The sequence below is a fragment of the Homo sapiens genome, chromosome 13, assembly GCF_000001405.40.
Source record: "Homo sapiens chromosome 13, GRCh38.p14 Primary Assembly".
Classification (NCBI taxonomy): Eukaryota; Metazoa; Chordata; class Mammalia; order Primates; family Hominidae; genus Homo; species Homo sapiens.
In genome coordinates, this window is record NC_000013.11 from 102,303,776 (window position 1) to 102,316,803 (window position 13,028).

The 13,028-nt window shown below is 38.7% G+C and overlaps 1 protein-coding gene and 2 long non-coding RNA genes across 24 annotated transcripts in view; 1 reads left to right on the forward strand and 2 right to left on the reverse strand.

Moving 5' to 3' along the window:
- LOC107984615 (uncharacterized) overlaps positions 1–9,049 on the forward strand; it is a 34,537-nt gene extending 25,488 nt beyond the window's left edge. The window contains exon 5 of one of the 2 annotated variants that reach the window (XR_007063856.1): positions 8,968–9,040. This is a non-coding gene — a long non-coding RNA (uncharacterized LOC107984615). Of the gene's footprint in view, positions 1–8,967 lie in introns of both variants that reach the window. The other variant, XR_001750082.3, reaches the window with a different exon arrangement.
- FGF14 (fibroblast growth factor 14) overlaps positions 1–13,028 on the reverse strand; it is a 691,640-nt gene that overhangs the window by 592,972 nt on the left and 85,640 nt on the right. For 4 of the 21 annotated variants that reach the window (NM_001321934.1, NM_001321931.1, NM_001321932.1 and 1 more), the window contains exon 1: positions 6,696–6,911. The exons of the other annotated variants lie outside the window; for them this stretch is intronic. The gene's annotated coding sequence lies outside the window, so the exon portion shown is untranslated. Of the gene's footprint in view, positions 1–6,695; positions 6,912–13,028 lie in introns of those variants that run through there. 21 annotated transcript variants of the gene reach the window in all.
- The window catches only part of FGF14-IT1 (FGF14 intronic transcript 1), a 102,200-nt gene that overhangs the window by 11,456 nt on the left and 77,716 nt on the right, over positions 1–13,028 (reverse strand). The window lies entirely within an intron of this gene.

The window sequence follows — 13,028 nt, forward strand, 5'->3', positions numbered from 1 at the left end:
AACCTAGATAATGACCTTAGTGTACATTAAACACTTAATAAGCATCTGCAATTAGTGTCTTTAAAATTCAAACTGCACACAGTAGGTAAAGCACTGAATGATAACTTATCAGATTCAAAAAGCTGTGTAGCTTGCTAAGCAACAAATTTACCAACAGCGATTTTAGACAATTAGTATATCTTTATTCATTGCTAAATGAATGCTGTGACTTTGGAATTAGCATATCTTCAATTTAGCCCTCAAAAGTTGGTTGGTGTTTATTGATGCAAATGTTCAAGTTATTAAAATCAGTTTGCCAAGTCACTACTGAACCCAAATCATCATCATCATCATCATCATCATATGCACAAACAAGAAAAATCTATTACATTATTTTCTCTAATGATAAATAGCAAGGTATACACCTTGCTTTCTTCTCTGAAACCCAGTCCCTAGAGTCCTGTCTTCCTACTGAACCCCACGAACTTCTTGCTTAAAGGAAGCAGCTACCCTGAGATGCTACTTGGTTCAATACCTACTCTGTTTTGGAATTGTCTTCCTGCCTCAGATTCCTGTTGCTACTCTGATCCTAAATTCAGCCCTACTATGTCCAATACTGTCAACTCTACATTCTACCAGCTCCTGATTCTTCCCTAACACGGGTTCTCTATTCAACCCTAAATACATTGAAATTGTACTTTCAAATTTTGCAGAATCACCATTACTCAGTCAGATAGGCTTAAGAAGTAAGAAAAAGGAATCGGTGGTCCTAACCAGCCTTCAAGAGGGACTCCAGTGATTCTCACTTCTGGATATTCACATTCTTCTATGGGCCCCTCTCATATCAAATAAGATAACCTGTGTAGCTGAGATTAGGCCATAGAAGACACTGGGCTATCTGCCTTGCACTTAGATTATTCTCTCTGGAGGAAGCCAGTGATCATGTCATGAGGACACAAAAGCAGCCCTATGAAGTCTACTTAGTGAAGAACTGAGGCCTCCTGCCAACAACCAGCACCAACTTGCTATCCAAATGCTGGCACCATCTTAGAAGAGGGTGCTCCAGCTTCAGTCAACCTTCAGGTGACTGTGCCTTCAGCCAGCACTCTAACCACAACCTCACAAAAGACTCTGAGCCTGAACCATCCAGCTAAGACACTCCTGAATTCCTGACCCACAGAAATTGTGTGAAATGATGAATGTCTATTCCTGTTTGAAACTACTGAGTTTTGGGGAAATTTATTATGCAGCAAAAAATAACTAAAACAGTGTGCATACAAAATCCATTTGTAAGGAAAGTAAACCTGAAAAGTCATGAGTCCTATGACAAAGAAAATTGTGTAGAAATTCAACTCAGCACTGAAAATGTATTGGATATATAAAACAGATAAAACAATGATTTTGTCTTTTTACAAAGCTTAGAGTTTTTATTATGAGTCTTTATGAAAAGCTTTTAGCTGACTTTTTCTTCTGTCAGTAGAGCCCTAAATATCAGTATTTCAATAAGTTTGTAAAATAGCACAAATAGCCTAACTAATTTAAAAAAACAGAGCTCCAATGACTTTAAACTTTAAACTCTGAACTTTAAAAAAAAATTAAGAAGCATAATTTTCTGCTGTTAATGCAGTAGCCCTGCTTTAAAATATAATAATAACCAATCAAATGTGGATTGCCTACGATAGAAACAGATGCACAATACAGAAGCTTAAAGACAATGTCAGGGTGTGATTATGAAAGAAAATATCAAGACCAGGACTAAAACAGAAATATTTGCCTTAAGGATGAAAGTTTGGTGTTAATATCAGAATAGCATTGTAATTACATCAGTATTTTACTTCCTTATATAAATACAAGTTTGCTAAACCAACTAGAAATTTGAACATAAATCATTCCACATATGAGTTCAGTCATTCTAAACTAATTTTTCTTCTTCCTGATTTATGACATCCTCCTTGGAGTGATATTACAGAGAGTGAACTCAGCCAAGTGAACCCACATTGTCAACTGCAGTCAATTTTCAGATATTGAAGTAAACAGATGAAATAGGGTATACCCAACTTATAGATGCACCTAAGGTTGCCAATATTTACTCTGGTCTTGTTATATCACACATTACAGAGAAGAACTGCTGTAAATCTAAAATTGAAGACAACAGACATGAGGATAATATTTGGCTTCTCTTTTGAAGCCCTGGGGAAGCATTTAGGAGATAAATGCTAAATAATTTCAATGCCCTGCCCTGCCCACAAATAAAGCATTTAGCATTCATCCCCTAATGAGGAATATACAACTCATTTTGTCGGAGAGGTACCACTTTGATGCTTCCCTAGAAATTGGGCTGTAAACCCCTAGGTTACCAGAACTGTGTCTATTTATGGCTCTGCCTCTGGCCCCAAGTTTTGCATCCTGGTTTTGGCCAATAGATCACTACTGAGTGACAGATTAGACAAATACTCTTCTTCTAATCAGTACACTGGAATACAGCCAACACACATTGCATCTTATCTTCTACCAGGCACTGTATTTGGTGCTAAGGATACAAAGAAGATGAAGAGCCATTCCTGGCTGTGGAGCAGCTCATGATCAGTGGGAGATTCAAGCATACGCATAGACATTGCAGGGCAGGGAAGACATATCATGCTTGAGAGAAGGCAGATGATGGAGGGGAAGACAAAGAGAAGAATCAGGCCTTCTGGAAAAAATAGGTACTAAACAGGCTGAACAGAGCATTACAGAAAAAGGATGTCATGAAAATCATGACCTTGGAGTTTGGTCTTTAGGCAGAAGCTCATCAATGGACAGCTGGCTTTGACAAGGTAAGAGGGGACCCTATGCCACAAAGCTGGAGCTTCTGCAAAGTAAGACTGTGTGCCCAAAACATTGCTTAAAAAATAATAATCACATAAGTATTTCTCAAGGGCCCATAAGGCCAAAAGAATGAAGAAAGAAATTAGCATACCTACTCTCAAAGTGTTCAGGCCTTTTAACCTTTTGAACAATGAAATTTGCAGTGCACAGTATACTTAATTAGAACTATCCACCATCTATCAGAAAAAGGCCAGAGTCATATATTTTCACATTCTAACTTGTATGCACAATAAAGACCACCCCCTGCAAATACGTCCACGTCCTAATTTCAGAATCTGTGCCCATATTATCATACATGGCAAAGAGGGTGCTGCAGAAGTGATTAAGGGTAAGGACCTCGAGATGGAAAGAGTATCCTGAATGACCCAGGGCATTTCTCTGGGTCCAATCTAATCCTATAAAGTGGGCCCAGTTCAATCATAGGAGGCCTTAAAAGTGGAGATTTCCCAGCTGTGGTCAAAGAGATGGCAGCGTGACATGAATTCGATGTAGCAGAGCACAAGCAAGGATGGCAGAGAGGCTTCTAGAACATAAGAGAGGCCTCCAGCTGACAGCCAACAAGGAAGTGGAGAGCTCAATCCCATGACCATATGGAACCTAACTTTTCCAACATCCAAGTGAGCAATAAATGAACTCTGTCTGAGAACCTCCGGAAAGGAACGCAGGCCCCTGATGCCTTCATTTTAGCCAGGTGAGATCCACAGGAGACTTCTGACCTGCAGAACTGTTTGATCATAAATTTGTACTGCTTTATGCCACCAAATCTGTGGGAATTTGTTACAGCAGCATTAAAAAAACTAATACACCAATAAATTCTGTTTGTCACTTAAAAATGGAGTCACAAGAACTGGCTTATAATTTGAGTTTATAAAACTAAATTCTGTACAATATCCAGAAATGTTGGTACCACTTATTTTTATGAACTTTTAAGACTAATAAGTGGTACCATTTATTGAGGACACACCATGTACTTGTTATTGTACTAAGTGCTTCACATAGCAATAATAATCACTAATATTTTTAGTATATGTACATGTATGTTAGGATGTGATAGGCACTGTACCAATCATTTTCATGTATTAATTCATTTAATCTTCACAACATTCTTATAAAGCAACTTCTATTACGATTCCCATTTTACAGATGAGGGAATTGAGACAGAAAGGATATCCATAAGGTGCCACGGCCACTCAACCCCCATTGCAGCTCTCTAACAGGAGCAAGCATTTATTAGGAATATACTGTGTTCTAGGTAATAGGCCAAGTACCTCCCATTCACTAGTGCACTAATGCCCCAATAGCACCCCATTTTCAGATAAGAAACCTGGGGCCTAGAAAATTTTAATAACTTTCAAGGTGTCTCACAATGAACAAATAGTGCTGCTAAAGCCAGAACTGACCTCAGAACAGGCCCTCTCAGACATCCAGGGTGTCCTCGAGACACCAGAAGGCTGGGCTGGCATCAACAATGTGTGGCTACCTGAAGATGTCCTTTCCCTAAGAACCTTCAGAAGACTATTTCAGTTAACAGATTTCCAGACGTTGGATCAAGCCAGATATCTCCCTAAGATACTCAAGATCCTCTCCATTGGCAGAGGGTGGGCTGCACATCCACCAAGTGGACAACTGAGGATATTTGTGTTTAACAATAAAAAGTTTCAATCACGTTCCCACTTTTTACATTCAATCCTGATTACAAAAGTGACTCAACATGTATTGGATGTCCACTATGAGCAGATCAATATAATGAGCATCAACGAACATCCAAACAGGTATAATTTCTCCAGGGGTACTGATTTATACTTTATAACTTTCAAGAGAAGTTAAAAGGGCTTCAGTAACACATTTGGGTAACACCACGGCCCTAAAGAAACTTACAGGATGTATAAAGGGGGAAGTCTGATCAACTTCTTATAATGTTCTAGTAAAATTCAATGCAATTATGTCAGGAAAAAAAGAATTGGACTAAAAGGTAGCAGACCTAGTTTCTAGCCCCAGCTCTGCCTGAGTGATCTGAACAAGTCATTTTACATGTCTGCCTCCATTTCTTCATCTGTAAAATAAAAGGATCAGTCTACAATATATCAAATATCTTCTGAGTTCTGAGTTCTGCGATTCTGCTCTTTGAAATCTGCCAATCTGCCCTCACACAAGAGAGTGGTTACAGTCAGGCAATGTGCTAAACAATAAGACTGGAGTGGGACCTGGTACCTGGGGTGTTATTGGGGGCAGAAGATGGCAAACATCCAGACTTCGGAGCCACTTTGTATATGAACTAGGAGGGTTTCTTATACAAAAAAAAAAAAAAAAAACACAAAAAAAACAGACCCTAGAAAAAGAGCACTCCAAAGTATCTGCAGAAATGTAGTGAGTTTTCCAAGACCTGAATAAAAATGGGACACCAGAAATAGTAACCTTGCTATGTTAGTAATGGCTGATGTACTTGATACTTGGTTAATGGGATTAAATGAAAAGTAAACATGCACCCACACAAATGCATACATGCATAACATACACACACACACACACACACACACACACACACATCTCGCACAGTAATGCGTTGAGTGCCTCCCAGTCCTTCAAGTGGAGCACTGAGCCGATCAACATGGTGCTATTACACAAGCTTGCTGCACTGCACCAAACTCGCTGAGCGCACAGCATGCCTGGAAACGCTACCACGTTCTCCTACAAGCATAAAGGAGTTTCTGGAACTTCTCCAAAGCCCCATGCTTTCATCAGCTAGGTAAAGGCATTCACTTCACCGGCTGAAATGACGGGGCTATCAGCCTGCACTAACCAGCCCTGGGAAGTGCAGTTTTATAGTTTCTGGTACTGCAGAGTACCACAGAGCAAATGGGATTCTGCCTAGATCTGCTAGGAAAGAATCAAAGAGATGAGAAAGTTGCATTTTACTGCCCACAAGTGATTTCTCTTGCACAAAAGGACCATACAATTTGGGTAAAAAGAACTGAATCATGAAAAAGTCAATTCAATAATCAAATGCAAAAATCGGATGAGCACTGAAATGTTTAATAAACAATATGCTAAAATTAGTGCTGCCTATTATAAAATTGCAAAGGATGAAGCAGCCACATATTTATCCATCAAAGGGATTATATAAATGAAAATTCTCAGAATTTAAAATCTTCTTAGAGCACATATCCTGGCTCTTTTCCCCTCCTTCTTCATATATGATGGCAGGGACCTCTCTGAATCTTCATCCTGCATTTGCTTTAGCCTTTGAATCTCAGCAACTCTTGGACAAGTTTCATTTGAACCTAGCAATCTCATCTGGATAGAAACCTCTGATAAGGTCTCCATGACCTTTAATTGTTTTTTACCCATGCACAGATATCTCTTAAAAATATATAAGGCATCCACTTCCACAAACATCTCTGTGTGACTCTAAGCTGTCACTTCACCAGTTTAGAACTCCTTTTCTTACCCTATAAAATGAAAAGGTTTGCTTCCTTCTATAATAGCTCTGTCATTCTGGCATCAGTTTATCTTTAAATGGCTTGGCTTTGAATTGGGAAAACTTTGGAAAGGCTTTAATTCTAACAAGCCCAGAAGGTGAGAAGAAGGAAAAACAAGAGGATAGTTTTACTCTTGCCCTCTTTGGTCTTGGTTAAAATGAAACACACGTGTGTGTGCATACACAAACACACATCCTTCCCCCTTTCCTCACTTAGAGTATATTTTTACTGTTTGTTTGTTTGGATCACCAACTATTTAAAGTGAGAAATCCTAACAGGCAGAATTCCCGAATTTTAAAAATAGAAGTGACCTTGAGGAGCACAAGGAATGAATGGAACTAATAAGTATTAAAGGAGAAGAGAACTTACTTTTTGAAATTAGAATGAAGTCTTTTTGCTTTAAGTATGAGCTGAGCTTCCATATGCATCTTTGTTGTATCTGTCTTCAGAGTTTGTGCCCACAAGGGACTGAAAAGTGTCTTTCTGGGCCAGGAGATAGAGGGAGGCAAGGAATAAAACCTTCTTTCCTTTCTGTCTCTCTCTTCCCGTTTCTCTCTCTCTCTCTCTCTCTCTCTCTCTCTCTCTGTGTGTGTGTGGGGGGGGGGGGGTGGGGGTTGTTTAACTGCTAGAAAACTCCCCTTTCCTTTTTCTATAAGGTAGCCAGCCCCAAGGTCTAGGTAAAGGAAGCTTGGCCTCCAGCAGGTCTGAAGTCCCTGGTCTCAGGAGTTAACTAATCATTTGGGGCCAGATTCCAGACCAGATTGTTCTCCCTTGGGGGTGGGAAGTCACTGCCAGGGTCTCATTTTCAGGAGCTAAGAACTGCATCCAGGGCGTGACCTAATTCAAGCCTGTGTCCTTCTACCACACCAGCATCGCCTCTGTTAATATGATCAGCTGTGTCCCATATGGCCCACTTGCATCAAAATTTACACACACATACACACACACACACACAATTTAAAAAGGATTCGGTCAGCCATTAACTAGGCTAGACTGCTCCGTTGCACCCTCATTCAGTGTTCTTCCATTCATTACATTCAGCATGGTCCAAGGGAAGAGGTTATTTCTTAAGGGTGTGAAGAAAGATGCATTTGGACATGCATTCCTTAGGGAGAACAAGGATGTTCTTTTCTAAGAGGGTCATGAACAGATCACACTGCATTAGGAGTTTCTCTTGGCCTGGTTTCTGGGCCCTGGGGAGTTGAGCTTTATGACATACTAGGGGCAGCTATCTGATCAGTCTTGAAGAAAATATCTTTTCTATGTGAGCTCTTTAAAGTAAAACTAAGTTTTGTCAATGATTCTCCCCAAGAAATAATGGTGTCTTTAATTCTAGCTACAATGCCCCTGCTGGCAAGAGTCCATCCTTCCCCACAGCTGAATCGGGCCGATTTAAAAGTCACCTCATGCATTTGGGACAGGTTGGAGGTGTGGAAAAACACTCCCATTACAATTCAGAAGTGCTGTCATACTACCAGAACCAAAAATAAAGCTGTAGAAAAGGAGAGAGGAGGAGAAAGTAAGCAGAAGAGATTAAGGGTCAGGCAAAGCAAAGGGCTTAAAAAGACAGCGTGTAACACAGGATATTTGAAACGAACAAAGAACTGAGCTATTTTAAAGCACAACTACAAACACTTCTCGAATATCTGTGATCATAGATGAGAGCTGAACAAGTTATCCCCCATCCCTTTATGGTTCTTAGAAATACAGAAGGCATAACACAACATTTGCCAGAAGAATAAATAAGACAACTTACCGATGTGCTAAAAAGTCTCTTTCAAATATTGAGGTAAGCCAAAGGGAAATGAGTATCTCAATGTTACTAGGGTCTCATATTTTCCAACATTTGTTCAATTTGGCCCACACATTTTAATGTTTCATATTTATGGGTTAATAACATTTTAATTTGGGAACCAAGTGACCTGAGTTTTAGTTTAGCTGGGCCGCTAAGAACTGCTTGACGTTTGGTATGTTACCTACTCTGAGTTTCAGTTCCCTATCTGCTAAAGTATTCCATTCTCTTTAAGGTTGTCTACGATTTATGAAACCATTATTGTCCTCTCTTTTGTACTCTCTGACTTTCCATTTTATTACATAATGAACAAGTACAAGACCTAAACCAAAAAAAAAAAAAAAAAGGCAAACTCTGCTTGCTCATTTAAATGAAAGCAGAAAAAAAAAACTTAAGTGGGAGAGAGCTTATATTAGCAACCTACTTCTGGACAATACCAATTTTCAAAAATACTATTTTCAAGGAGGTTTCATTTACAGCGTTGTCTTTCATTCTTACAACAAACTTTGGAAGCTAATATTTATTACTGTTTACCAAGGAGAAATTCAGATCCAAGATCACCAAACTAATGCCAATTAAAAGAATAAATAGGACTGATACTTGGGCCAAGGGTTTAAAATGTCTGTATGTTTTATAAAAAATCAAATCCACTAGAAATTGTATTCCCCACAAACACTTATGAATGGCATTATACCACTGCACTATTAATCCTAGTGCTGTTAGGAATTCCAACTACCCCCCTGGATGGCTTAAAGGGATAGAGACATCAGTGATAGCCCTAGGAAAAATATAAGAATTAGAACTTATAGGAGAAGGAAGTGTATTGTTTTGTTTTGTTTTGTTTTTCAGGGCATGGATTTGAAAGCTTCTGATAGCAGAAATTTCTTGCTGATTGTTTTCTGCTATCAACAACATCCTCAGAGACATATGAAGAATAAAGAAACATTTAGCTCTTCCATCGAAGCCCTACTTCTGGACTCCGTCCACAGCCCCAGATATCCCTTTCAGTCCAGAGCTCGGCAGGTACATCACTCAGGGGCTGTGTGAAAAGTCAAGTGGGGTAGAGAGGAGACACAACCCTGACAAAAGCAAGTGAGTTCTCCTCCTCCTGTAGCGGACCAACCTACTCCTTCCTGAGCCACAGCCATAGGAGCAGACATTTAGTTCAAGGACAACAGAGCACCTTCCAAGCACTGATAGCCTTACAGTTCTCCAGGGAAAAAGGCAGGGCCAAGCAAGGCCCCTCTGCAAGGTTCACATTCAGCTATCCAACAATCAATTCAACAGTGTCTTCCACCTCACTGTGGGCAGGGCACTGCTCCTGGAAGGCACCAGGCAATGTCAAACCCAATCCTGAGCCTGGAAGCACTCACACACAGGGAAAGCAGCCGTGGAAATAGCTCAATTACAATTATGTGCCTAGTCTCTTCATCAATTACAACAGAAGTGGAGAACTCAGAAACTGAGTCTCACGAGGTAACATTTAAAGTCAATCTTGAAAGATAAGCAGGAGTTGTTTGTTGGAGCCAGGGAAGGGCACTCTCGTCTCAGGGAAAGGCATAAAAGAATGCAGATCATCACTGATGAAACAGTCCCGATTTTACAGGAAATGGTGAGAAAGTGAAAGTCAAAATTGTAGTTGGTGGTCCAAACAAGATACTCTTTGGGAATTCTCTCAGAAATACTCCATTTACCTTTTAAGGCGTTGGGCAGGGGAGGGGGGTAAGAGCTCAAAACAGTTCACATTGTTGGTTTTAATAGATTTTTAAACTAATAACATAATGAAATTAAAATGTCTATTTTCAGCCCCAACCCCAAAAGAAATATATTCTTGTTTGCATTAAAGAAGGTTTTCACCAAAACTGTTCAGGTTCATTTCTATGGAAAATCATTCAGGCATCAACCCTCATGACTTCTTCAACAGTCCAAATGGAAAGCAACAACATCACGTCACAAATTCCTCCACAAAGTAGTACTAGACGTTCAAGACAGAGAAATTAAAATACCAATTATTTTCTCTAAAACTACCAAACGTGTTTTCCATCACTCAGGCAGAAAATGCAGCCATTACGAAACAACTCTGCCAGGCTGAGGCCGGAGAACACAGCCAGCACACAGACGACCAAGATGTTCAGTCCACTTAAGAAAATGCACCTCACTACTTCAGGGGCCACGCAAGCCATCTTCATGAGGCATTACGTATTGAAAAAAAATGGCTAATTTTCTGAGAGGTCAGTTGAAATATAAGAGACAGAAATTTCTTTCTGCTGCTTGTACAGTCAAAATTTATTGAAGTCAGTTAGCAACAATGTAATTTGCCTGACCTGATCATCTTACAAATTGAAGTCATCAATAAAGTGTATTCACTTGTGTATCATCATGTTTTATTCAGCTGGAACTGTCTCTCTCCACCGATGGCCCCAAACATATATTACATGCACAAATTAAGCAGCACCCATTCTATATTGACTACTTACTAGTTCCTTCTGAATATGTCCTCAATCGCGCTATACATATTTCCTGAACTGAAGGGACCATTCCAAGTGTCTTCACGGTATATGTTACTTCAACAAACCGAACATATTAATACTATATGGAATGTCTGCATTTTCCAGATACTGTACTAGATACAAGGATCCAATGATTAATAAAAAAGCTTTCCTGCCCTCAGAGAGCTGAAAGTATAGTTTTATTATCACAGAAACTCACAATTATTCATAGTAAACACTCAGAAAATATTTGGTGAATAAACAGGTAGACGTACATGCAAATAAACAAATGCCAATCACTCTTTCAAAGTTGTTTACAACAAGAGTTACTGTTTTTATTCTGAAAGTTAATTTCTGCTATCAGGAAAAAAAGTCGTCTTGTGTATTAATTCAGGAATTTCCTGCAAAGCTCTGAAAGCAAGTACTTGCTCACACCTGCCAGAAGGGTTTGGTATTTCTCGACATGGGAGTAAATATAATGTTTTATTGATCTCACTTCTATTAGCTTTGGCTAAAAATTTATATATAAAAATACATAATAAATGTACAAAATTATACATATTATATTAATATATTATATAACATATACATTATTATAAATAACATATTAATGTATAATAAAAGATTCACATAATGTTACACACACATACAAACATGTATACATATATGCATATATACATAGGATATACAAACATATATGTACAAACATGTATATATGTTTGTGGTAATGTGGTAATATATATGTATATTGTGTGAATATTATATCACACACACACACATGCCTTCCCTAATAAATCGGTCAAAGAAATGAGTAGCAAGGAAAAAATATTATAAAATCTGGCATTCCTCCTTTCTGTAAAGGGGATCTTTTTGAAAAGAAACACATATTGCTCTAAGAGTCAGTCACACTTTCACAGACAGAAGATACTGCTTCCAAAGTGCCTCCCAGCCTGCACCCCTTCAGGGGACAGTAGAGCAGTTCCCTGAAGCCCTACCTCAAGTTCAAAAACTATCACTTCTCTCAACCCTCCCCTGTAGGCAATGCCTGTAACATTTCACTGCATTTTTTGCGGGCCTCTTTTACTTGACTAAGTTCTCTGAGAGCCAGCATTATGAACCATTTGTGTTTAAATGCCTTGTATTTGGCACAGTTTGGGTCATAACCCAATACTGCAAAAAGGGAACTCAATGGCATGGGTTAGTTTATTAAATTAATTTTAAAATCATTTTCCTTTTAGCTGTCTTGTAATCCTTCTTGAAATAGTTGAGGATCCCCTAGCATTTCACAAAACAAGAGTTGGAATTTTCTGTCCCAAATATTATTGCATCTAAAATATATCAGCTTGGGTCCTGTGTACCTTAGGGAGAACCCCAAGCTTGAAATAAACTAGGTAAGACCTCAAATACAGCAAGGCAGTGAGCCTAACACAGATTTATTGAAGCTTTAATTCCCTCTTCTTACCTTTCTAGCAAATTACTCCTTTTTACAATATCCCAAGATATTTTAAAAAAAACCTGTTGTATATTACATTACACTCTTTCATGAATATACCAGCACTGCAAAAAAGCAGAAACTAGGACATGACTACTTGGGTGCATAATGAGCCCTATGCAATCCCACAGCTACACTGTGCAGAGAAGAATAAAGCATTTGGCCAGTGCTGTCTCATTAGGGGAAAATATGTCCTGCCAGGAGGCAAGGGTCTAAACTAGGAGCCCCCTTGGAGTCCCATATTAAACCCAGCAGACTGCAAAATAACAGAAATTAACAGAAGGATAAGCTTTGTGACTGGAGAAAAATTTAACTTTCTCAAATCCTAAAATCCTGACCTTTCTGCCACAGTACTCAACCAAGTTTTCATGGCATACTATCATGTTACATACAATCAGTTGTGGGACATGTCAAAAGCAATGTTACCAACAATAGTCTCTCAACATGCACATCAAGGGTTGAACATTCAACAAAAATGTGGTAAGTTGATGGGGTGACAGATATGTTAATTCGCTCGCCTGAATATTTCTACATAGACCAAAATATCACACTGTACCCCATACATATATACAATTATTATCAATTAAAAATAAATGAATAATTTTTAAAAGGGAGGATATCTTGCACATAGAAATCCCACACATCATGCAAGTTGACTATGAAACTAAACATGTTAAAACATTGAGAACCACTTAGGACAACTTAAACAAAATACATTTACAAATTGCCTTGAATCACTCTCTTGAACTATCTCTGTATATGTGTGTGTGTATATATATATGCATATAAAATATTACAAATATTGGCGTGTAGTTTTTCAGCCATGGTATTATTGTAGGCTTTAACCTTTTTGTTCAGATGTCCTGAAACAGACCACTTTAAAAATCAGAATTTTTGAAAATATTAACTCCTTTTTGCACGGTTAATCA